The following is a 25737-nucleotide window of genomic DNA, read 5'->3' as shown; positions in this document are numbered from 1 at the left end:
TCAGTTAATTATATGTCTCATGCTTCATGGTCTCAGAGAGCTTTATTTATCCTTAGCCTGGCCAGATAATTTTGCTCTGTATAACCATTGCCATAAGAAGTCAAGGGTCGACTGTTGAAGGGAGTGAAAAGAGAAGTATCACAATGTCTTTAAATTGTCCTTATGTTACAGGCCGACTATCATTCCAAAGGAAGATAATTCTTAGTCATTGAACCACGTGGGAGAGTAAAAACTCTAATTACCTTTGTTACCTTGAATCTAAGAAGATAATGAAACTTTGATAAGGACAGAAAGGACTTCCCCCTCTTCTTTTCCCTGGCATAATGTCTCATCCTATGTTGTCTCCCGGCACTCTCAAGGTACACCCAAGTGAGTGTAGGGATTAAAGAAGATAATTGGCATGCTAAACTAATAGTGGTTAAACAAATTTCCACCTTACCTTCACTCTAAGCAAAAGGTCTATTTTTAAAATTGAGTAAGGAAAAACATTTTAAAAATATAACATCCAACTATCTCGGTACAACTATCTTTTTCATTTTTATATGTTGCCATCATGTTCAGCAGTTCCCTTACATAAAAATAGATAGTTGGTTTGTTTGGGTTTTCTACACAAATAATATAAATAAACTTTGCAAATATTTGTAAAATACCAAATATATCAATTAAAATATGAAAACCTCCTTCATTCTTCCCAACTTTTCTCCCCATTCCTGAAGTAACCTCTGTTAAGAGTTTGGTCTCTATCTTTTCAGTTCACTTTCTGTATGAGTGTATTTATATTTGTGTGCACATATATATGGTTTTGGATTATTAAAAACACAAATGCTGTAATATTGTACTTACTATTTTATAACTTTTTAAAAATTAACAATAGGTCTTGGGCCAGGCACGGTGGCTCATGCCTGTAATCTCAACATTTTGGCAGGCCGAGGTAGGCAGATCACCTGAGGTCGGGAGTTCGAGACCAGCCTGACCAACATGGTGAAACTCCTTCTCTACTAAAAATACAAAATTAGCCAGGCACATGGTGATGCATGCCTGTAATCCCAGCTACTCGGGAGGCTGAGGCAGAAGAATCGCTTGAACCAGGGAGGGGTGGGTTGCGGTGAGCTGAGATCACGCCATTGCACTCTAGCCTGGGCAACAAGAGCAAAACTCCGTCTGAAAAAAAAAAATAGGTCTCTAATCTTTCCATGTAACAACATACAGGTCTATTTTCTTTATAGACTCCTTCGTGTTGGTATAAATGCAGCGGATTTAATCACTCATGAAAATAGACATTAAATTGTTTTATTTTTGCTCTTTCAACAGTAGTGTAATTGATATCCTTATGCATGATCCTTGTACATGTGTGTGAGTGTTTCTGTAAGAGACATTACTCAAAGTAGAATAGTAGATATTTACATTGTTTCCAATCTTTAGCTATCATGACAGCAAGGCAGGCAACTTATCTTTGTTCCCAGATGTTCTTTCGGAAACAACTTTCTTTTTCTTCTTTTTGTTTTTTATTTAAAGATTATTGGATAAGGATATAGAGAATCCAGTTGTAGTTCCTCTCTGTGTGCACTCTAAATCTCAGTTCCCTTGTCAGAACTGTAGTTACCTAATATTTAAATTTTTAAAAGTAATTTAAAGTTAATTACATAAGACAAAAGAGATAAAGACATTTTGCTGGGGTGAAAAGCAAAAGTAATCACCTAAATATATGTTTGTAAAATGATCAATAATTGAGTTCAACTCAATTCAACAAGTATTTTACCATGCAAAATGTACTATCTTTTACATTACATAAAATGCAAAAGAAGATGGAATTCCCACCCTTAGACACCTTGTAATCTAGGAAGTGGAAGACACAAATCCATAACAAATTATAATAAGTCAGAATATAAATTTTATTTTAAAAACTGCAAAAAAAATCTTCTGTTGAATGTTCTTGATGAGATCCTTACTTAAATATGAGGTATCCATAAAAAAAATCAAATACTCTTTGCAGCTAGATGCTAAAATATATCACTTTCAAGGCTCTCTTAATTTTGTTAATGGGGCAACCTTCACTCTATTTTACAGGTGCTGTGGAGAGGGTGAAGAAAATTCGAGACTATGCTTTTGTGCACTTCAGTAACCGAGAAGATGCAGTTGAGGCTATGAAAGCTTTAAATGGCAAGGTAAGGTAGAAGAAAGAAAAAAATATGCAGATTACATCCAAGTTTGGTGTGGATATTACATCCAAAAGCACAGTCCTGCAAGCCTGTCTCACTCCAGCCTTCTCTGACATGGCTGCCTCAGTCCATTTAAGATGTACTAAAGAGAAATGATGGAAAATACAATGGAAGTTGGAGATGTACCTAATATATCCAACTTTACCTCTATTTGTTTTTTATAATTTGGACAAGTCACTGGCCCTCAATTTCCATGGAAAGAGGAGATTTAAGTAGATTATTTCAAGATGTTTTTCACAATTCCAGTTTTCTCTCATTACTTCAAAGAGATTATCATCATTTTAGTGCAGTATTTTAGAAGCTGATGAATTAAAAACATGTCAAGATAGCTGTTATTCTGCCTTCATAGTTTGATCTTCCACTTGGAAAGCTTAGAGTCTCTCACCTTGCCAAGAGTAGGGGCTGGGGAAGCTTCTATATCCTCACTACTGAGTTGTCTACAGAAAGCAATATAATATTTATATATCAAGCCAATAAACATTTAAAACCTTCTGTAGACCACTTATCATGCTAGGATACAAAGAGAATCAAAGATGTTTGACAAAGAGTTAAAAGTTGGTTGGAGGAATAAGACAACTACACAAACTCGTGCAAAGTATAGGCAAGTAAATATCATAAAGAGAGATAAACGTGGTGAGCAAGTTCAAAGGAAGAAGTGGGCTATAAAGAATAAAACATCTTCATGGATATGAGAAGATAATATTTAAGAGAAGCCACGAAAATTGGGTATAATTTCAAAAATCAAAATATGGAAAGACAGGAAGTCTTAGAGGCACAGAATTTGAGAAGAGCAAGACAAGATTGGAGAACAGGAAAATGTGGAGTAACTTGGCTGGAACATAATGCACGTGGGACTGTGTTACCTATCGGATCTGGCATCGGTCAGGGTCCCAAAAGAAAACAAATAGCAAAGGAATTAATTACAAAAGTGCGAGTGGGGACTAGGGAAATCAAAAAAGAGTGTCAGAATTTGGGGCTCACAGCATTCTGGAGTCAAAGGTACAAGGGGCTGGAGAATTAATAGAAATCCTGAAAGGGGAGAGAATTGTGTAGAGCAGATCTCTTTGCAAGAAGTTGCTGGGTGCAGTGGCTCGCACCTGTAATCTCAGCACTTTGGGAGGCTGAGGTAGAAGGATTGCTTGAGCCCAGGAGTGCAAGACCAGCCTGGACAAGATGGCAAGACCTCATCTCTACAAAAAATTAGCCGAGCATGGTAGCATGGACTACTACAGTAGTCCCAGCTACTCCGGGGGCTGAGGTGGGAGGATCTCTTGATCCCAGGAGGCTGAGGCTGCAGTGATCTATGATTGTGCCTTTGCACTCCAGCCTGGGCAACAGAGTGAGACCCCACCATTAAGGAAAGAAAGAAAAGAGAAAAGAAAGAAGCAGTGATTTTGGTCAAAGGACACAGTCAGCCCAAGGTGACCTCTCAAAGACGGGTCCAGCAGAATAAATGCCCCGAATTCACTGTTGTCTCTTCTCCAACCTCCTACCAGTGTTCCCCATTGGCTAAATGCAATCACAATCTAGAAGGCTAAAGAGGACCCCATGTAGAACAGCTTCCCAGAGCAGAGAGCAGGCTGGAGCTGGTAGGTGGTGAATTCCATAGGCAGTGGATCCAGATGGCAAAGGGAGGATCTCTTAGCCTAGGCCCTTCAGACACTGTGGAGCCTCTTGCATATTAGCTCCTCAGGGGCCCACTCAAACTCAAAAAGTTTGAATACTGGAGGGTGGGGTGGAGAAAGTATTCACTCTGAAATACAAAAAAGAAAACTGCAAAGAAAAACTAATGCATAAATACATGTCTATAAAGAAAAGCATTATTTCATCTTCATTGATGATCACATTTAGTATCATAAAAGTGTTATTACTTGGAAAACAATTTGTAAGTTAGATTTTCTCTATATGGAAACATTCCTGAGTATACATGATGATTGCTGGGAAGGAACAGCCATCACAAATTAAATGCCAAAAATTACGTTGGAATAATTACAATTGAAACATATTCAAATTCCCAATTTTTGCAGCTAGATATTTTTAGAGTAATTATTTACACATATTATTTAGTTAAATATATATTTAATATTATATTTGACTATAATGTGGTATGGAAAAATCAAAAGTAAGTTTTCCTAGGAACTATGAAGGTTTTTGAGCATATATAGAGATATTTATATTTAATTTGTTAGATGAAGTGAGATCTTGAAATTTTTTCTACGATAATTATCACATTTACAATTTAGGAAAATTAGCCTAGTAAGAACTGACTTTTTAATACAGGTGAGAGAAACATGTCATAGAAACTAGTTATAAAGCTATTATAGTCAACCAAATGGGACAAAATAAAGTCTTGAACTTAGGTAGGAATGGAATGTAGGAGACAGCCATATGCAGAACAGTAAGGGATAAATTCAAAGGACGCAGGAACTGATTGGAGATGGGGTGAAAAAGAAGGACAAGTCATTATAAGCTTCCAATATGGTAGGTTGTTATGAAAGTCAGGAAGGGAAGCCTATTCAGAGAGAAAAATGATGAATTGAGCTTCAGAATGATTATTCATTTATTCTTTTTGTAAGTCTATGAAGTGAAAGAAATTTTACTAAGCTTGGGCTATACAGATTAATAAGATATTGTCCTAGCTCTGGAAATATCTAAACCAAATAACTAAAATACAATATTGAATTTAAAATGCTTTTGGATGGGACAAAGGAAGGCAGAACAAAATTTGTTACAAGATATCTGAATTTGCCGCAAAGAATCATTCCATGCAAAACATCTCTTGATATGGAAGTGCCTATAAGCAGAGACCTATTTGGGTCTCTCATCTTCCTCAAGACTGGACTGAAGATATAAAGAATCTTATACCCAAGTTCCTCCCCTATTTTCAGTATGCCAGGTCTACTTTTTCTAATTACATCAACATCAATATAAGATTGTTGAATATCAGCTGGATTCTGTCTGTCTCTCAGAGTATTCCATCTAACTTATTTGACACTGGCTCCTGCTACTAAAAAGTAAGGTAAATACATAATACTGGGGACAAATTGACCAAGAGGCTGAACAAAATGGTCAGGATGACCATGAAGCACAAGCTTTGTCCAGCAGACTTCAATAATCCAGGAACCACTGAGTCACTGTTGAAATCAGAGGGTAAGGGTGCACACTCAGCTGCTGTGAATGGGAATTTCTGTAGAAACACTTTACATAAAAGTGTTCTTTATATAAAACAGAGGATCTTCACATTCTTATTCAAAAACAAAGCCACAAATGCTTTCAGACAATACTTTGTTCCTTTGATAATAAATACATCAATCTATCAAGAATTTCTTGAGAGCCATCATTGTTTATTGTGTAGGCAAGCAATACATAGAAGTTAGTAGCACACGTAGATCTACATACATCCATTATCTTTGACATCTGGAGCTGTTTGCAGTCTCAGAATTTGTGTCAGAATTCTTAAGGACAGGTTTTAAGCAGTGCATGATCTGAGAACCTCAATACTACTCTCACTCCCAACTACTCCTGACCCCTGTCATCCCTGTTTATTAGCTCCCAACTGTTCAGCAGATCAAAAGGTGGCTTCACAAGGAAGAACCTGTGGCAGGCAATGCAACAGCCTCCCAGATTCCTCTTCCTTTGGTAGAGCCACAGTATGTCTCTCTTCTCCAGTGAAAACTTACTTGTGTGGCTGCTCTAAGGAGCAAGACAGTTAGCGGGCTATCAGCTGGAAGGGCCTGATTTGGCTGCCCATGCTAAATGCTAATAATTGATAAGATTTCTTTATTGGTTTCCTTTCACCTTCATCTTATTGTGCAAGGTAATGGAGATTTTATACCATCCATAACAAACCTAAATTGTCTTGTAGTTATATAATTATATAAATATGTAATTTAAAACACATATATGACCTAATAAAAATATTACATAACTTTCTGTCTCAGTGACTGTAACCAGATTGTAAATTTATAATGAATATGTCAATGGACACTGGCCAATATGTCACTGTCAAACCTGTTGGCATCTTATGCAACTTACCAACAAAATGGCTCAGAAAAAGTTCAACTGGCATACAAAACAAACCTATAAAATGACAAGATACAATCAATAAACCTACAGCAAATAGTCTAACACTTAGAAGGAGTCATGTTATTAGGGCTCAGCCACACTTGGTTATCTTCATATCATCTCGCGTTGATATTTCTTTGCTCTCTACAACAGGTGCTGGATGGTTCCCCCATTGAAGTCACCCTAGCAAAACCAGTGGACAAGGACAGTTATGTTAGGTATACCCGAGGCACAGGTGGAAGGGGCACCATGCTGCAAGGAGAGTATACCTACTCTTTGGGCCAAGTTTATGATCCCACCACAACCTACCTTGGAGCTCCTGTCTTCTATGCCCCCCAGACCTATGCAGCAATTCCCAGTCTTCATTTCCCAGCCACCAAAGGACATCTCAGCAACAGAGCCATTATCCGAGCCCCTTCTGTTAGAGGTAACACCAGTCAGATCTTGCTTTAGAGTAATCCCAAGATTTCAAATGACTCAAATTGCAGTAGCCTTAGATACATTGGATGGGTCCACTTGGAGAAAAGCACTGAAAAATTGTTTATTAAAAATCAACTATTATATCAATAGTTTTCCTTTAATAGGAATCTTTTTCACATTACAACTGGTTATTGAAAAAACGTCATCAGAACATTGTGCAAATGAGCCTAGTGCACAGATTCAAACTTTGCATGGGCCCATAAAATTTGCACAAACTAAAACCTAGTTCTATAATTGTTAGCTTCTTCTATATCACTTGTCCACCACTGTGTAGTCATCTGTGGCTCATTACAACACTTCTGGAATAGACTAGTATAGTCCAGTGGAAACCAATTACCTCAAATAGCAAAACCCTTTCAAGGCATGTGTGTATTTGATGGTGACTCAGTGGCATTGTCTTAATATGTAAATCACAAATTATTATAAATATAATCTAACAGACATATGAGATGTTCTCATCTGACCTCCTCCAGGAAATATGTTATACTTTCTTAGAAGCCAAATAATTAAGGACATTACTATATTTCTTTAATACATGGAGAACTGAACAACAAATAGAAAAAAAACCCTCAATCAGACTGCTAATAAAACAATAAATATTTCACATTTGAATCCTGTAAGAATTCTAAATGTTTGAGCAGTTTTCCAAGCTCCATTTCTTCAAGAAAGCTAGAAGATAAAGAAAGCCTTTATTCTATTTCCAAGAAACTAGCTTGTCCCTGTCTTTTTGGCTCCTTCAGATGAGTTTTTCTAGGATGTGGCTAATGCCAACTGAATCCCAGTTCTATCCTCCAAATACGACATGAATCTGGGCAATTCGATAAACTGTGCATTTAAGTCTATTCTTGGGTTTGACTTAGAAGCAAAAAGGCACATCTAGATTACTGTGGAAACAATTATCTTACTATGTTTTACTACTTTTCAGTATAACTAAATTGATCATATTAGGAGCTCTAGTCTTCAACAGCCTTAAAAGTTTCATACTCATAATTACTTGCCCCAAAATTGTAATGCAAATGAAATAATCAAGATTTCCTTTAAGGTAACTTGTCTATGTGATAATAAATTATATCATTGCAACATTATGCATTTAGAATATAAAATCACCTCATTAACCAATCCATACATTAAATACAAATTGTCAACCAGTTATGATGTCGAAAAAAAACAAACTCCACTATAAGGGAAAAAATGCCTATCTTATAACAAGAAAGGAATCAATGAATGATATTCATGGATGAAGGGTAATCAATTTAATTTTTTATCTCTATGCCACCAATATAAAATCAAAGTAGTAACATGGCAAAACAAAAATCAAAAGGAATCTATGCATGAAACTCAATGGAAATTTAAGCCTCACATTGACCGAACATCAGAGAGCATGGTGAACCTAAAAGCATGCTTTCTAAATGTTTGTTTTACAATAAGTCATTGGAAGTGGGATAATTAGGGAAGCCAGAATTTATTTCTGATATACTGATCAGTGACAGTCTCTATGCAAGACTGATTTCAAAATAAGTGGTCGCATTATGTTGGAATGTTCTAATAAATACATTCCCAGTCTTTATTAGTCTGTATAAAATATCAAGGTTACCTAAAGACAAAAATTGCAAATTTTCTATCCCAAAATTTTTAAGTTGTTTGTGTACTTATCAATAGTATTGTATTTATCAATGGCATTGTTTTCTTCTGAAGGTAGTTTTTCAAAAAAGAGAGACACCTATGTTAAACCTTACCTTATGTTGAGTTTCATTACATTAGAATCCTAGAGTCTCCCACCCATCTTCAGGGCAATAATCAACGTGAATTGGGCTAACTTTTCCATTACAGTAAGATTCAGGGTGATTTTCTGGTGGTTTGATTCAGTTTAATGCCTTCTTACGTTCCTAGAAATTTACATGAATGTACCTGTAGGGGCTGCGGGAGTGAGAGGACTGGGCGGCCGTGGCTATTTGGCATACACAGGCCTGGGTCGAGGATACCAGGTCAAAGGAGACAAAAGAGAAGACAAACTCTATGACATTTTACCTGGGATGGAGCTCACCCCAATGAATCCTGTCACATTAAAACCCCAAGGAATTAAACTCGCTCCCCAGGTAGGTAATGTTATTCCAGAAATAGTTTCTTTAAGTTGTGCCAATGAGCATCATTCACTTTTATCAAATGATTTGACTTGATCCCTACTCAAGCTATGGGTTTTTTTCTTTTAATATATAAAGCATCCAATGAATGTCACAGTCTTTGAAGGAATGCTGGGCATCTGGTGCCATTATTCTATTATAGGTCCTTTCTCTTTTTTAAAAAATCATAAAGTCTAACACCTTGAACAATATTCCACTGAAATGCAAAGAATCTGAGAGCTATTAAGAATTATCAACCCATACCCGAAATGAGGCAAAGACCCCATCTCAGAATAAATGCCTATTGTATGTGAGCCAGGTTGGCTGGCAAATGAAGAGTATTATGGCAGTGCCCTGAATAGACCATTTAGGACATCTTTTCTTGGAAATACTGTATCTAAGAGAAAACTCCACCATGATATCTGGGTGAATTATTAACTATGAGATGTCATCAGTCATACCAAATTAACTCTTCCTCCATAGTTATATTTTGGCAGTGGCATTACAGAGAGTTTTTACTGTGTTCATTTAACAGTTCTAAGTTTCCACACTTCAACATTAACCTGTGGTTTTTATTATTGGAAAATTAAAAGCTATAAAAGTTTCAATATGGAAACTGACTCCCGGGGTTAAAAATAAAACAAAACAGAGTCTATGCTAACCCTGAGACTGTTCCCTGTGGGAGTGTGATAGGTGCTGATCTCTCTGAAATACATTTTGGCTGAATAATCAGAGTTACAGTTTGTGTATCTTGAAGGAAACTTCCCTATTCCCATGACAAAGGTGGGCTTATAGCCTCACATTTATGGAAGTAGCCCTTATAATTTCAATCCAGAAGAAAACTGGTTTTCTAAAAGCTCATCTTGGGTAATTTTTTAATGGGATTTCTGGCTTTCTTTTATGCACAAATTAGCTTATCTAAGGTTTCTGCTAGCCCCACCCAGGGAATTTTAAAAAAAATGCCTATCAGACTGCTAAACAGCAATCATTTGTTCACATAAGATTTAGTAAACTTCTCTTATGCACCATGTAGTGCGCTAGGTGCTGGAGATGTAGAAGTGAATATAACAAAATCCTTATCATGAAAAATTAGATGGCAATCCAGTGGGAAAAAACTGACACGTAAACATATAATGAAATCTGGAAGTGATATGATGAAGTTTGTTCAGAAAATATAAAAGCCACTCATCCAGTTTCTCTTAGGTTAAAACCCAAAACAAAAAACCTGATTAAAGTACTGGAATACTTAGAAATATTTTAAGAAAATAAAAAATAATAGTCGCAAATTCTGTATAATAATAGTTCCGAGAGCTGCAATAGTATGAAAAGAGATCTCTTCATTTTACATTAAACTCAAGTTAGAAATTCATCATGTCTTTTATTAGTATGTGAGTAACAATCTCTATCAATTAATAAAAGTTCTTTAATTTGTGTCTGACCTTCTACAACTATGGCTTAGAAATGAAGACCATGCCACCACCAACCAACACAGATGGGGCCTAAACAATCCCAAAGTAGAGTTGTGAACTTCCAGCCAGAAGCAGAGAGACAAGCCCTTTCCTGCAAAGTCAGCAGTGAGAGCTGGTGTTCCTTCCGCCCAGGTTTGCTCACCTGGCATAAACAAGCAGGCATAATATCTACCAGCAAAAGCTCCTTTATTATTGCCCAAGAACTGTAGAGAATGCTCTGAGGATTACAAGAGATCCTACACAACAAGAGTATTAAAAAGAAAATATCAATAGAAAAAACAGTAACAATCTACAAATTAATAAACTGGAAAATATCATGCTATTGCAGCTGGGTTAGTTAGCATAAATGAGGTAAGAAACCTCAGAGACACATCCTGAGACATTGTTCTGTCTTACAGAGTTATTTTCTCAGGCTTATGCCCTGCTTTCCACAGTCTACTGAATCTGCTGACTAACGAGAGCATCAGGACCTCTGGACAACCAAAAATGGCTTCAGAATAAAGAAACTATGAATCTTTAGAAAATATTCAGTTTGGAGTAATTACAGAAGAAAAAACATGCAGGAGGATGCTAAAAAGCATATTGTCATTAAGCAAAAAAACAAACAAACAAACAAAAAAGGCAGAAATAGTGTCTTACCAAACAAATAAAAACATTGCAACTGTCAACACCCATCTAGGAACACTCGATAAATACCAAGCATTAAACTTTTTAATTCTATTTTTATGAAATTGTGAGATTAAAACCCTATGACAAATGTCACGAAATAAAAATATATTCTTAGGCTATCATCTCTAAACCATTATAAACACAGAGATTGAGAGTAATAATGAGTAAATCTATACAAATCTATACACACAGTGTTGGAGCAACAATTTTTACAAAAACAAATATTCCAAACAAATCATAAAATTAAGCTTTTGGTAAAAAGTTACAGCTAATAGACTAAACTAAAAACATATTACAGTAAATGGTGTGAAAGTGATTTTATGAACTAATAGACCTAACATTTTAAATGGAGTTCAAATTGAGTTCATCTTAAATTTTATGAGTCATTAAATCATGTGGCATTTTATGTCTTCAGATACTAGCTTGAACTCTGAAAATTAGAGTTTAAAAACCTGAAAACTTGGGAAATAATGTGAATGTGTCATTTGAGGGGGAAATAACTTTTTTTATTCTTGTAGATATTAGAAGAGATTTGTCAGAAAAATAACTGGGGACAGCCAGTGTACCAGCTGCACTCTGCTATTGGACAAGACCAAAGACAGCTATTCTTGTACAAAATAACTATTCCTGCTCTAGCCAGCCAGAATCCTGCAATGTGCGTAACTTCTCCAAATTCCTTACCATTTTAGAGCAGGATACACTTATAAATTAAATGCATTTAGTCACCATCTAAACAAGATACTGAGGTCTACTACCTACTCATTTGTCATTCAATGCAAATATTGAGATGTGTAGTTGGGATGTGCCAGCCATGAAACCAGCATATAAAGGCCCCCAAATTTCATATACACAATGAAGGTTGTGTAGTATCACCAGCCAGTGGATAACAGTCAGTAGTGTAAAATGTAATAGAAATAAAAACTATAGCCCATTCTTGGCTGGATCACTTGAGGTCGGGAGTTTGAGACCAACCTGGCCAACATGGTGAAACCCCGTCTCTACTAAAAATACAAAAATTAGCCGGATGTAGTAGCCGGTACAGGCAGGCGCCTGTAGTCATAGTTACTCAGCAGGCGCCTGTAGTCATAGTTACTCAGCAGGCTGAGGCAGGAGAATCACTTGAACCTGAGAGGTGGAGTTTGCTTAGATTGTACCACTGCACTCCAACCTGGGCAATAGAGTGAGACTCCATTTCAAACAAACAAAGCTATAGCCCATTCTTTCATCTGTGCAGTGTTTAGGTTGAAGCATATGAAACTACCATTTTATACATAATAAGACAATGGCCCATCATTTAATTTTGGACCAAAGATATGACCTCTCTGTTAGTGGATATCACCTCCTGAATTTTACCTTGAGCCTGCATTTCTATATATTTTAGGAACAATTTGTTTCACTTGTGCTTTAGAAAAGCCATGTAGTGAATTACTTGTATGTCCCAGGAATGTCATCAACCACTGATGTTCTAGATCAATTTGTAAATATTTCTACATGCAACCTATATTTAGAAGCTTTAATAGCAAACAGAATGAAAAACACCCACTCAAAATACCACCATCCAGTCATCTTACAAAGCTGATAGTGCCTTAAGTTTTCACCTGACTCAGTTGTACCAGTTTAAAAATGCCTACCCTGACTGACTTGCTTTCCAGCCACCCTTTCACACCTCCAAAGCTGAGTGCCTTTGTGGATGAAGCAAAGACGTATGCAGCCGAATACACCCTGCAGACCCTGGGCATCCCCACTGATGGAGGCGATGGCACCATGGCTACTGCTGCTGCTGCTGCTACTGCTTTCCCAGGTATGGGAAAATTGTGCCAGAAATGGCGCCCTGCAGAGAGTATTTGGGAAACCCTTTTTTGGTACCATTGAATCACAGAAATGTTTGTGTACCCTACTTACAGCAATCTGACTTGCACAACCTTGGGACCAAAAAGAGTTTCCCAAATGAGTGACTCATTAAAACACGAGGCAAGAAAATCAAGCTGGGCAGCAGAGTGGGTTCTGGTCTCGGCTCAGCTTTAAACTGCTGTGTGATCTTGAATGAGTCAGTCTCTCTGAGTCTGGTTTGTTTTGGTTTTTACTTTTAGTACGAGAGTTTGAAACTACCTATAGATATATGATGTTTATTGGAGATCTTACTGTGTGCTAGGCACTCACTTAAATGGTCAGGAAGCGTTATAATATCTTAGTAATACTCATGATACCACCAAGAGTTAGGTTCCATCAGAAAGTCTGGTATACAAATGAAGAGCCCATATACAGAAAGATTAAGTAATTTGGCCACTGGCAATTAGCTTTTCAGCAATCTTTTCTCCCTCTCCAGTCTTCAATCTACTTTTATTAATTTGATTTCAAAAAAGATTTTTTAAAGTCAAAAATTTTGTGAGAGTGAGAGACAGACAGAGATCCTTTCAATATGTGAATAATCAGGACTCAACTCAATTTATTTGTTCTATAATTTTGGTCTGGGGCATATGCTGATTGCTTAAAGCAAAGCCTATCCGTGGATCAACAATGCCTTCAGAGGTCACATTTTAAAAGATTTGTCCCCATTTGTTATGTACCCACAACAAATGGTAATAATTAAAACTGAATCCTTTAGAGATTGAAGGGGACCAGGCAAGAAAGTTGTTTAGGAAATTTTTTCTCAGCTGAAAATTTTTTATCCTTTTTTTTTTTAGTAAAAGATTATTTTTATTAAAGAAATCTGTCATTTTTTACTTCTCATTGTGTCAGCGTGTGCCACATAAGTCCAAATTAGAGCTCTAAGTAGACCTAGAAACATGATATTCTTATTGATTAATTAATTCATATATTGGCCATGCGTAGGTGTGAAAAATTTTATATTCCTCACACCCACTGCACCTGGGGCTCCTTCTCAGTAGTGTTTTTTGGTTTTGGGGTTTTTTTTCTCAAAAGTTTTGAATATATCCTCCATTCTGGCCAGTGGGGCTAACATTAATGATGTTTCACATCTGAAAGTGACCTCAATTCTGGCTTTGTTTCTCTGTAAGAACATGGAGATGCTCTGTGGTGAGTCCCTCGGAGGTTACCAAGGTAACAGCTGACATTGCAGAGGGCAAGGTCCTTCCTGGGCAGTGTGGGGCCAGCAGCCAGTGCTTGCTTTCCACATAACAGGGTGTTTACATGTCCATTTACTCAGGATGCCTGCCAGGGCTTCTCAGTTCCTAGAGAAAGTTGAGCCCCTGTCTTACAGAAAGCTGCACCCCAAAGACACCTAACAAATGTACTATTAAACTAATGAGCCACTGTCAGAATTTTAAAGTTTGCTTTCACATTGGAAAGGATTTGCTTTTACCCAAGAATGTTTTATCTTATTCTCACTTCCACTGGCTTCTGTGAGAAGTTAAAAATATTTAGGGCATGAGTGTTGTCTTGGGAATGCCTAAGAATCTGAGAGCCTCTCTTATAACTTTGCTGTGGAGTCAAGCAAAGAATAATAGGCTCCAAGGGAAGAATCAGTTTGAAACCCAAACACCCTGGCACTTAACAAATTGACCAAGTTGAAAAAGAAAATTCAAAATCCCTAAAGGTAAAATCTGTGCCACAAACACATGCATGCATGTGTGCACACACTCACACAGTTACATTACTCACTTAGTTTAGAAATACTGTTTCCAAAACCATGAAAGTAACTGTTAACACATGTCTCCTATCCTTGGAAAATGGACCAAACTTCACTAGTGCATTAATCAGCATTACTGACCAAAATGAATGCACCAAGAGTGGATTCAATTTTTGTTCAAAATAATCCAACCAGCTTCCTGCCACCACTTTCTGAGAAGCCACTAGAAAAAAATCAATGTGTCTGGGGTTGGGCAGGCTTCTACTGCACATAAACTAAATGGGGTTTAAAACAACAATGAAAAATAGGTGCCCATTTGTACTTAAGTATACTTCTCTCTTTTTCTTGCTATCTTTTACAATTTCTGGATAATCTCAGAAATACTCAGGTTTTAAACTAAAACAATACAGAGAAATAATGCTTTAGATAGTAGCTAATATGCTCTCTTCTTCAAAAGTGAATGCTCATCCACTAGACACAATGCTAACATGAAAGCGCATAGATTATTTTTTTAATTCTCAGATACTTTGGTTCTCTGAGGCGGAGAACCAGCATCAAGGCCTCTGAATACAACAAGCACAGGCTTGATGAGGGGCTTGGGAGGTAAGAAGGTGCTTTTGCCATTCATAGTTACATGTAAATATGGACAGGTTAGGCATTTGCTTTTAAGGTATTATGGAAAAGCACACTTAACCTTTACAGTATTTCTCCTACTGATCTCCCAGTCTTTACACATCTTCTTGGGTAAAGGCAAATGTTTTAAATGTTTCATTTAGGCAGGTGTGGGGTTACAGGAGAACCAGTCCCACAGATCCCCACCTCCCCACATACCATGCCCAGCCAGCCCCTCAGTCACCTTTTCTCATTTATAAATTTGGAGACCCTCAAAACGCTAAAAATCACAAGCTTTAATCAACTCAGTATCCTGTTAAGTTTCTCTTTCTTGGACCCTATCCCAAGCATCTTTAATTCTCTTAAGTATAAAGTGATTCTGACACAGGTGGTTGACCCCACTTTAGGGAACATTGTCCTAGGACTGTTTAAATATCATTGAAAATCACTGAGTCCACATATTGTGTCCTTAAGGACACTTTTTAAAACATATATATTAACTTTTAGCTTTAAGCAATATGTTAAATGTTCGTATTTCTAAAAGAAGACAAATAAGCCAAAAGGGAGCAAATGTGAATTCCTTTCATCAAGTTTTCTCTGCCTCTTCCTCCAGGATATGCTGTCCCTAATGCAACTGCACCCGTGTCTGCAGCCCAGCTCAAGCAAGCGGTAACCCTTGGACAAGACTTAGCAGCATATACAACCTATGAGGTCTACCCAACTTTTGCAGTGACTGCCCGAGGGGATGGATATGGCACCTTCTGAAGATGCTTTTTTAAATTTAAGAATAAGACACACAAAACTCTATTAAAAAAAAAAAAGAAATAAACCTCTAACTCGGTCCCCAATGATCATAAATAATATGTTTCCTAAAGAAATGCCTTTCCAGAGACTGTATAGCTTATACCAATTATAGAATCATGAAGTAAGAACGTTATTCTGAAATGAAATCAAATGTTAAAGAGCCTTTTGTTTAACAGAAAGCTGGAGAGCCACTGCCCCAAAAGTTGTTCTTCCAGTCTTCCTGAGTGTTTGGGGAGTATGTTTACAAATCCTGCCAGGGTGAAGAGAGATCTTGTAGCTGGCAAGATTTGGGAGGGATGGAGCAGACCTGGGCAGTCAGTAATAATCAAGGGAAGCCAAGTAAACTCCAGAGTCTTACCTCTGGCTCACAGCTGCTTTTGTGATACACAAAGTCACAAAGAGGAAAAGGGAAGGGAGGAGGTTGCTTTTCAAAATGCATTCACCATGGCTCACTGTGTGGGGCATGATTGCAGGCCTGAGCTCATGAAAGACTGTCCAAGATTTTGTGGTTTCAACCTCTCTTCAGCCTGAAAATTCCATCCAGTCGATTTGTCACAGATCAGGATCTTCCTGTCCCCTGCAGCCCATGGGGACTTCCTAGAAATAGATATGATATGTTGTAGATGTGGTTAAAACAAATCCAGGCCCCATTGTTTATTCAGCTCATTAGTCCACACCTATTTTTCCCTAGAACTCCTACCTTTTCCAATAATCATGCCAGCATGAAATGACCTTTTCTACTTTAAAATTTTTTGACTTGTTCATATTGCTTGATTTTCATCATCTCAGACTCATTTTTCTCCTACCTAATATCATAAAAAAGTAAATCAGATATACAGAATATCATTTATGATACTTCTTCCTTTCAGCAAATTGACTGAAAAGTCATTTTAAAGAGAGAAGTGCAGATTTGCTCTCATTTCTTTGATATTGTTGCAGTATCCACCCCACCATCTAGCAATCAGAGATGCTTATATTAACTTGGGATTAGCTTTGCATTATCTAACCCATTTATTTTAAATCTGCCAGGAAATCCTCTAACTTTCCTTCCTTTTTGTTTCAGTAAGTATCAGGCAGCTTCACCATACCTGAGTCCTTTTGTCTTGAAGCTGCCACAGAAAAATCTTACAGCAATCATTGCTGATTAGAAACTGTTTCAGACAATCAGCATGGGTGTTATTTACCAAATTCCCCCCAGAGTCCTAGGCCTCTTCTCCAGAAATATCTGATGATGAAGTGAGGGGAGGGCAACGGTGCTACAAAACACGGAACAGAGGTAAAGAGAAGGCACTACTTTCTTGCCATACTTGTAAATGATTGCTTTGTTCAAACATAAATAATCTTAAGTCCAACACCAAATACCTGTTACTCCTACATCAATCTCATTAGTGGTTTAAGACACAGTACTAGAATTTTCATTTTTTAAAATCCCTTGGCCCTTAAAAAAATTTACAGAACACAAAGGAAAACATAAACACAAAGACATGGAAAATTTTGTCAACTCCTTAATGGAATTCTGTGATCAAAAAGCAGGCCAGATTCTAATCAAAATCAGGTAAATTTTAATCACAATCAGAAGTACTTGTAACATTTCAGTTGTCCTAACTCCAATGAGATAACAAAGCCTCCAAGGCTACAGCTGAAACTCTGAAAGGCCCTGTGCTTTCTACTTTACATTTAGCGTCTAATATTTCCTAGGACAGTAGTTCCCAAAGTAGGCTGTACATTAGAATCTCCTGGAGAGCTTTTTAAATGCTAATGCCAATAACATATCTCATAAAATTTACACTAGAATTTCCTTGGATGGGTGCCTGGCATCAGTATTTTTTAATGATCCCTAGGTGATTTCAATGTGCACCTAGGTTTGGGAATTGCTATATTCTTGTATTTATACTCTATCTCTTTATTTCTTTTCCTTTTTATTTCACTTTTAGTAAATAGAAAAATGCAATTAAAAAATCATCTAAGTTAAGACAAATAGCCAAATCATATTTATCCCATAAATAGTATGAATTTAAATGTAACTTACGTAGGCTTCAAACTAACTCTAAAAATGAGAAAGTAAAACAATCTTGTCCTAAAACAATTCTTAGATCCAAATTTACACTCCCCTACAGATCTGCTTTTATTCTCAAAGACAGTGATTACATTGACATAACAAATGTCCATTGGGGCAGGCAAATTTCTACTGAGTCTAAAAAGCATTCCAAATTCTAGGAGCAAAAGTTCTGATTTTCCTTAAAATCTTTGCAAATAAACAGCAAAGGGTATTCTGGATGTCTTGTCAATGCAAATTAGGTTTGATTTAGAGAAGTTTTAAATTTAATCGCAATGAAAAGATTAGTTAATACATGAATCTTTTTATGAGAAAAAATCATTATTCTGGATAAAGTCATAATTGTTTGTTTACAATATTAAGAGCAGACACCTAAACATACAATAATACCAAAGTATTGAGAAAATTACCACTGGAACACCATCTCAAGTTATCACACCATTTACCTCTTTAGAGCCAGTTTTGTATAAGTAGGTAGAAGTGGTTTTGGTTTTTTTGCTAAAATTTTACTTTGTTTTAGTAATATCTAGGGAATACTTTGAATTCCATTAAAATACCTTCATAGAAAGTGTTAATGTGTCTACCATGCCATATGTTTATTTTTACTTTCCCCAAGTTAGGTAGATAGAGCAAGTCCTGCTACCATAAGTTTAAAATTATTAAGACAACGGGCTTTTTTAAATTGCTGGTAGAACCAAAGGCTAATTTTGCATAGGTTTATATTTTTAGACTTAAGAAATTAGCACCTATATAATACCTTCATACCTTCTGCATCACTATCAATTTTTCTGTAATTTCTTATTTGAATGCTTCCTAATTCTTTACAGAAAAAATTAAAATTTGTCACCCAACCAGGTGATAATAACAAAACAATAATTTAGGAACATCCAGTAAATTTGAATTAGTTCTCTAAATTTTGGTAATTAATAGCTTATTGATAATTAAAATCAGCCTAATGTTGCTTAAGTAGGAGGAAATTGATCAGCAATGGGATTGGGTATCTATTTTCTTTCCTATAAAAGTGCTGCCTCTTCTCAAATTGCTTTATTTCTCTCCCACTGCATTAGTATATCTAGAACAGCACCTTCAACTGCAACAAAATATAATTCTCCTAGATGACTAGGATATCCTCCAATCTGGTATCATGCCAAACAACACTATGTTTGGGGAACAGCACCCGAAATGCTGCTAAAAAGCTACCTCATGTCAAGAAAATATGGATTTCAAAAAATATCTGGCACAGTGGCCCATGCCTATAACCCCAGTACTTTGGGAGGCCAAGGCAGGAGGATTGCTGGAGGCCAGGAGTTCAAGACCAGCCTGGGCAACATGGAGAGACTCCGCCTCTACAAAAAAAAAAAAAACAAATTTAATTTAATTGGCCAGTTGTGGTGGCGTGGGCCTGTGGTCCCAGCTACTTGGGAAGCTAAGGCAGGAGGATTGCTGGAGGCCTGGAGGGCAAGGCTGCAGTGAGCCATGTTCACATCGCTGCACTCCAGCCTGGGTGACAGAGCAAGACCCTGTCTCCAAAAAAGCAAAAATAAATATCTAACAAAAAGGAACCTGTTTCCAAACCACAGTTTCTTAACTTTTTCATGATGGAATAGAAATTAAACTATAAGTATATACTGATAATAGCTGTGCAGGAAATTGGTTTTTATTTTACTTAAAAGTATTTTTTAGAAAAAATGTTATTCTGATTGCATAGATTAGCAAAATATTGCATCAATATAATGTTCCATTTTTATTAATTTTTGTTATATTCTAAATGACCGTTTTATAATTCTGTCTTGGACAACTGGGCCACAGTTAGAATCCACATAGACAGGGAGGTTCTTAGGTGTGCCATTTGTAGAATAAAGGGCAATCAAGTTAATATTCGGGGTAAATTTTCATTGCATTCTAACCTATGAAGTTTGATAAAGTATATTATTATTGAACAACTCTAACACTAAGATTTCCTAAAAGTAACTTACAACAAAAAATGAACTATGTGCTCAATATTCACATAAAGTCATGATTATTCTCTTCTTGCATTCATATAAAAGTTCCCAGGGGGAAGAAAATATATCTAAAAATTAGACTAGAAACTTGGCACTTTTTATGTATTGTAGATACACTTTCATATATTGTAAATACATCTGTTAAAGATAAAACTAAGTTTCTAACATAGCACTACAAGGAAACTTTGGATAAATATTTTTAAAAAGAAAATGTTAATAGGATAACTTAAGATTTTGTATATACTTATTGGAAGACAGGAAGAAACTAGGCAGTAAATATTCCTACCTGACGTGCAACCATTGTCAATCAGGTTTTGTTAAACTGTCAAATTTGATTTTGAAATTTTAGTTTGCCCAAATAATATCTTGAAAATGCTCTGAATTTTACTAGAACATATTCATAGAAAGTGTAATGTATCTACCAGGCTCTATGTTTGTGTTTGCCAACATTAGAAAAACAAAGTAAGTTGCGCTATAATGAGTGAAACTAAGGAAAATGAGATTTTTCTGACTCCCATTCCCTCTCTTAAAAAGTAAAATATTTAAGCTTTTTTTATTAAAGGAAAAATGGGTACAGAATACTCTATTGCCCTCCAAATGTCCAACATTTTTAAAGCCATGTTGTCCAACAATGTTTATACAGAAAATAGAATGCATAGGTTTAATATAGATAGCAATGTATATGTAGGCTCATTTGTGGGAGATTGCAAACTTTATGTGCCCCCAGTTCTCCTTGGTTTTGTAGGAAAGCTAAAAGAAAACCTTGTACTCTCACTAATAATGAAATTCATAGCCAATTTAGAAAGGGAAAATAACCTGAAAACCAAAATACCTCATTCATCTGAAGATGCCTGGAATAAAATATGGAATTCTTCTGTACCTACCTCCCCCTTACAGACTTTTCTCCTATTTTGAGAGAGAAATTCAAGAAGAAGAATACAGCTTGTTCTCTTTCCACAAATGATACTTTGTCTAAGGGAATAGGAGATACCAAGAAACAGTATCTTTAAAAAAGTAAGCTGCCCACAGGCCTTCTTGGAGAATGAAGAATATCAGCCCCATTCAGGGTTTACCAATGTCTCTCTGAGGTGACAATACATTCTGGTTTTCCAGGACAGTCCTGGCTTAGGTCTGCTGTCCTTCTATAAATATTAACAATGATCCCTCTTATTTCCAAACGTGTCCCAGTTTAGACAACAAATTATACAGTGTCTGCCCCCAACACACACACACACACCCCACCATCTTTATGGGTTGTTGTTGTTTTCTTGTTGTTTTTAATTTTGTAGAATTGGCTTTGTCTTCTCCAAAGCAGATAACAGCTTAAACTAAAGAGCCTAGCTACTTCTTTCTGACTGAGCAGGGTCATAGTAAACAGAGAAGAATGGATCACTTCCTCCTCTGAAATCTCCATCAATCCACTTTCTGTCCAACTATCTCTCTACCCAGCCTATTTTTGGTCCTAGTTTTCCTCTCATAACCCCTGGGCTGTGAGTCCTGAGTTCTGCCTTCATATGGCAGAGCAAGCTAGTCATTATTATGCCAGGTTAGGTGGTGGGGCAAGACAAAAGATAGCTCTTGGGGACACTTGCTTGGTCTGTAGAGATCCACAGGGCACTAGTAGGGTATTAGAGCATTTATTGGTTTCTTTCTTCCTTGAGTTGAGTTACTTCTATCCCAAAACAGACAGGTCTTACGTTAACCTTCACCTTAAAAAGGATATTGCCTTTTTTCCTTCTGCTTCACAAATTTGCTCCAACACTAATTCCCTTGCATTTGATTTCATCATTATGATTGTTCATCAACCATTCTTCACGAAAAATCCTCACATCACGTCATATAAAGGTTTTATTATTTTTAATGGAAAATAACATTGAGAGATTATTTTCCTTTTTCATAAAATTTCCCTTTTTCCCTCCCTCTATTCTCTTCACTAACATTGGAAATTAAACAAGTTTTACAGGCTCTATTGTTATTAACCCTCAAATCTATTCTTCAGAGAATATATGATCAGCCTGTGTTTACTATGCACCTACTCTTATACCAGAAACTGTGAATACAAATACATATATTTCCTACTTCTCTCTTTAATTGGGGCACACAGTCCCATGGTCCATTCTGCATTTTTCAAAATTGAATATAATTGCAACACCTGATAGGTTTTGCCACTTAGAATTCTGAAAATAAATCAACTCTGTTCTAAACCTTAAGTTTCCACTATTATTGCCAAACTCTGGACTGATACAATAAGCCTTTTAAAAGGTGAATTTAACACTTCACCTATTATGGTTATTTAAGTAAAATGAGTTTTCAAATATTTCCCCCAGGAGAAATATAAAGGACTATGCAAAAATAGAAGGAGAAAAAGGTTAGTTAGAGGTCCAGAAGGAGAATTAAAACATGGAATTGATAAATTCACCTACTGATTTATGATGTTAATGAGCAGGTACCTATACATTTTATTTACTTGAAAACATTTTGGCCATTAACTATTTCTGTTTTCTAAATACATTTGTGTTTATAAAATTTTAAAATCTATATCACAAGACTTAGACATGCCTTTCTTTGCAATAAAGTATATATACCTTTTTACAAATGTAAATTTTATTTTGAAACTTGGCATTTTCTTTATAATTCCTAAGATATCTTTGGGCACACAGACTACAGATAAATCTATTTAAATCAATTCATCATTATCACTGGTTTAAATATTTAATGTAACCATTGGAATTTTTATTCTTATTCCTTCAGAGAATTCTCCTTTTCTTCTATGTTTCTGACTGCAATACAGCCCGATATTGTTATTCCCTATATCTTAATGAAAAGCAAGCTGTCAGCAAAATGCATTTATAGTTTCCAGATGTTTAACAATCTCTTTCTTCTTTTCTTTTTTGTTATTATTTTTATTTATGTGAAGTTAGTTAGCTGAGGTACCAAAAAAGAGACAAAGACAGTATTAAAAAGTGTGCATAAAGCACTTATTTTTGTACTTTAGTACAATGTTTTATAGAACTTTGTGATCTATCTAAATATATTAAGTAAAATTACACCATTCACTTGTTGGGAAAATAATCTTTGGTTTGGAAGATATTAACATAATGGGCATCTTAGAATCATAAATCACATGAAATGAGAGACAATGCAATATTGTATAATTCCTGGATGATGCAATTGTTTTAATTGAATTTTCAAGTGCCATTATAAAGTTTTAAAAATTATCAATATGAGTTGGTGCCTAATTTTTTCTTTCCTAAAAATAAAATTTTTTCTTTTTGTGAGTAAATACCTGAATATTAATAATCCATAATTGCAATGTGGTTTTGACAACTTCTTTACATGATTCACATCTTCTATATAAGTTCACTCTTCTGAGATTAAATGCAACTTTTAATAATTAAATGCATTATTTTTCAATCCATAAAAAGACAAGAGAAATACTTAGCAATTAAAATATTGAGAAAACATGACTCCAGAAAGGTAAGTGGGCCCTGAAATCAACATTTGCCTGGGGGCATCTGCTGATCCCTAAGAACTAGAGCAAACTATTCCTCCAGGACCAAATCCAGCTGCCTGATGTTTGTTGGCCCTTGAGTTAAAAATGACTGTTATGTTTTTAAAAGGTTGAGCTGAGAATGTTTTTCACATTTTTGAAAGGCTGGTTTAGAGAAAAAAAAAAGGAAGAACATGTAACTAAGACCACATATGGCCCACAGAGCCTAAAATATTTACTATCTGGTCCTTGACAGTGAAAGTTTGCTAAGCTTGCCCTAAGCTAATACCACATATTTTAGCTTCTGTTACCTGTAGCACCCCACTTCTTGATGCCGAATTCTGAATTAGCTAAGACTAGGTTTGGTTGGCAGTGACAGTATTCCCAAATAGCAATAGTTTAAATAAGATAGCAATTTATTGTCTCTTACCCAAAAGTCCCAAAGGGCAGTACAATGCTGGTACTGTGCTTCACAGTTTCATGAACATAGGCTTCCTTTTGTTGCTTTACTTGAATGGTCTCGATCTCATTGCCTAAGATTTACATCCAAGTAGAAAGATAGAGAAAGGACAAAGAAAGGGAAGGGCACCCACGAGCTGTCCCTTTAGGAGAGCTACTGGAAGCTGCCACAGGACACTGTAGTTTACATCACATTGGCCAAAATTTAAGCATGTGGCCACACCTAGCTGCAAGAGAAGATGGGAAATGTAGTCTTTATCTAGGCAGGAAAAAAATTCTTTTACTATGAAAGAACGGAAGAATGAATACCAAGAGAAAACTAGCAAAGTCTGCTACAAATTCCTACATCACAGGAAGGATGTGATGTTTAAATTAAGTAGGCATATGAAAACATCTGGCGCTGGCCTTTCATGATGGGTACTTATGAATCTTGGCTCTGTATCCAACCACCTGATGGGTTCTTCTTGCCCACTGCACAGACAAAACCAATTCACTGAGACCATGACATTGCAATAAAGAGTTTAATAGACATGAAGCCAGCCATACCATGTGGGAGACAGAGTTATTACTCATCTCAATCTCCCTGAAAATTCGGAGACTAGGGTCTTTCAAGGATAGTTTGGCTGGCTAGGGAGTTTGCTTCTGAGTGGGGTTATGGGACAAATCAGAGGGAGTCAGTGGGCTTAGGTGAAGCCATAAGTAGTCAGAAATGCAAAAACCTGAAAAGACACCTCAAAAGGCCAACTTAGGTTCTACTATAGTGATGTTATTTGCAAGAGTAATTGGGGGAGTTGCAAATTTTGTGACCTACAGAATAATGGCTGGTTATCCTTTAGTGGACACCTTAGAAGAATTCAGGCTCTACACCCTCCTAATCTGGTAGTCTTTCATGAGCTTTACAAAGGCAGTTAGTTTGAGGGAAGGACCATTATTTAAACTATAAACTAAATGTCTCTCAAAGTTAGCTTGGCCAAGCCCAGGAGTAATTAAGGGCAGCTTGGAGCTTAAAGGCAAGATGGGGTTTGGTTACAACAGATCGCTTTCACTGTCAAAATTTTCTCAATGTTGTAATTTTTGCAAAGGCAATTTCAGCACTTTTACCCTGCCTTTACCAACTAAAAGGAAACAGCCAATTTACCTTAGAGTTTCTCGAAGTATTGTCACCCATTGAAAGTGTAACTGTGTAGGGAGGATCCCATTGGCCCCACTTCCTGATATTCACACAATCGTATTATCTCCTTCCTTTGTGTGCATAGTGGACCTAGTAACTCCATTCTAATGAACAGAAGATGGCAAAAGTGATCAGATATCACTTCCAAGGTTATGTTATAAAAGATTATGATTTCCACCTTGCTGGTTGTTCTTGCCTGTTCACTGTGATGAAGCTGGCTGCCATATTGTAAGCTGGGCTGTGTAAAGAGTCACATGGCAAGGAACTGAAGGTAGCCTGCAGCCAACAGTCCGTGGGGAACTGAGTCCTGCTATCAACCACATGATTGCTCTTGGAAGTGGGTCACTCCTCAGCAGAGCTTTGAGAGGACTGCAGCCCTGGCTAATACATTGAGTGGACTTTATGATAAACTTCAAAGCAGATGACCAAGCCAGCTGCACCTGGCTCCTGCCCCACAGAAACAGTGATAATAAATGTTATTTTAATCTGTTAAGCTTCAGGATAATTTTTTGTGAAGGAACTAATAACCAA

General features: G+C 36.5%; 1 protein-coding gene across 14 annotated transcripts in view; it reads left to right on the top strand.

Moving 5' to 3' along the window:
* Positions 1-23308, top strand: part of A1CF (APOBEC1 complementation factor) — an 86219-nt gene extending 62911 nt beyond the window's left edge. For 8 of the 14 annotated variants that reach the window (XM_011539729.4, NM_001370131.1, XM_047425130.1 and 5 more), the window contains 6 exons: positions 2068-2165; positions 6438-6711; positions 8655-8860; positions 11541-11677; positions 12675-12823; positions 15837-23308. In XM_011539729.4, the coding sequence (XP_011538031.1) occupies positions 2068-2165; positions 6438-6711; positions 8655-8860; positions 11541-11677; positions 12675-12823; positions 15837-15988 (1016 nt within the window). In that variant the 3' untranslated portion in view covers positions 15989-23308. The remainder of the gene's footprint in view (positions 1-2067; positions 2166-6437; positions 6712-8654; positions 8861-11540; positions 11678-12674; positions 12824-15836) is intronic. The other 6 variants (NM_001370130.1, NM_138933.3, XM_047425129.1 and 3 more) reach the window with 1 other exon arrangement.

This window comes from Homo sapiens, chromosome 10, assembly GCF_000001405.40.
Source record: "Homo sapiens chromosome 10, GRCh38.p14 Primary Assembly".
Lineage (NCBI taxonomy): Eukaryota > Metazoa > Chordata > Mammalia > Primates > Hominidae > Homo > Homo sapiens.
This window is presented reverse-complemented; position numbering and strand designations above follow the sequence as displayed.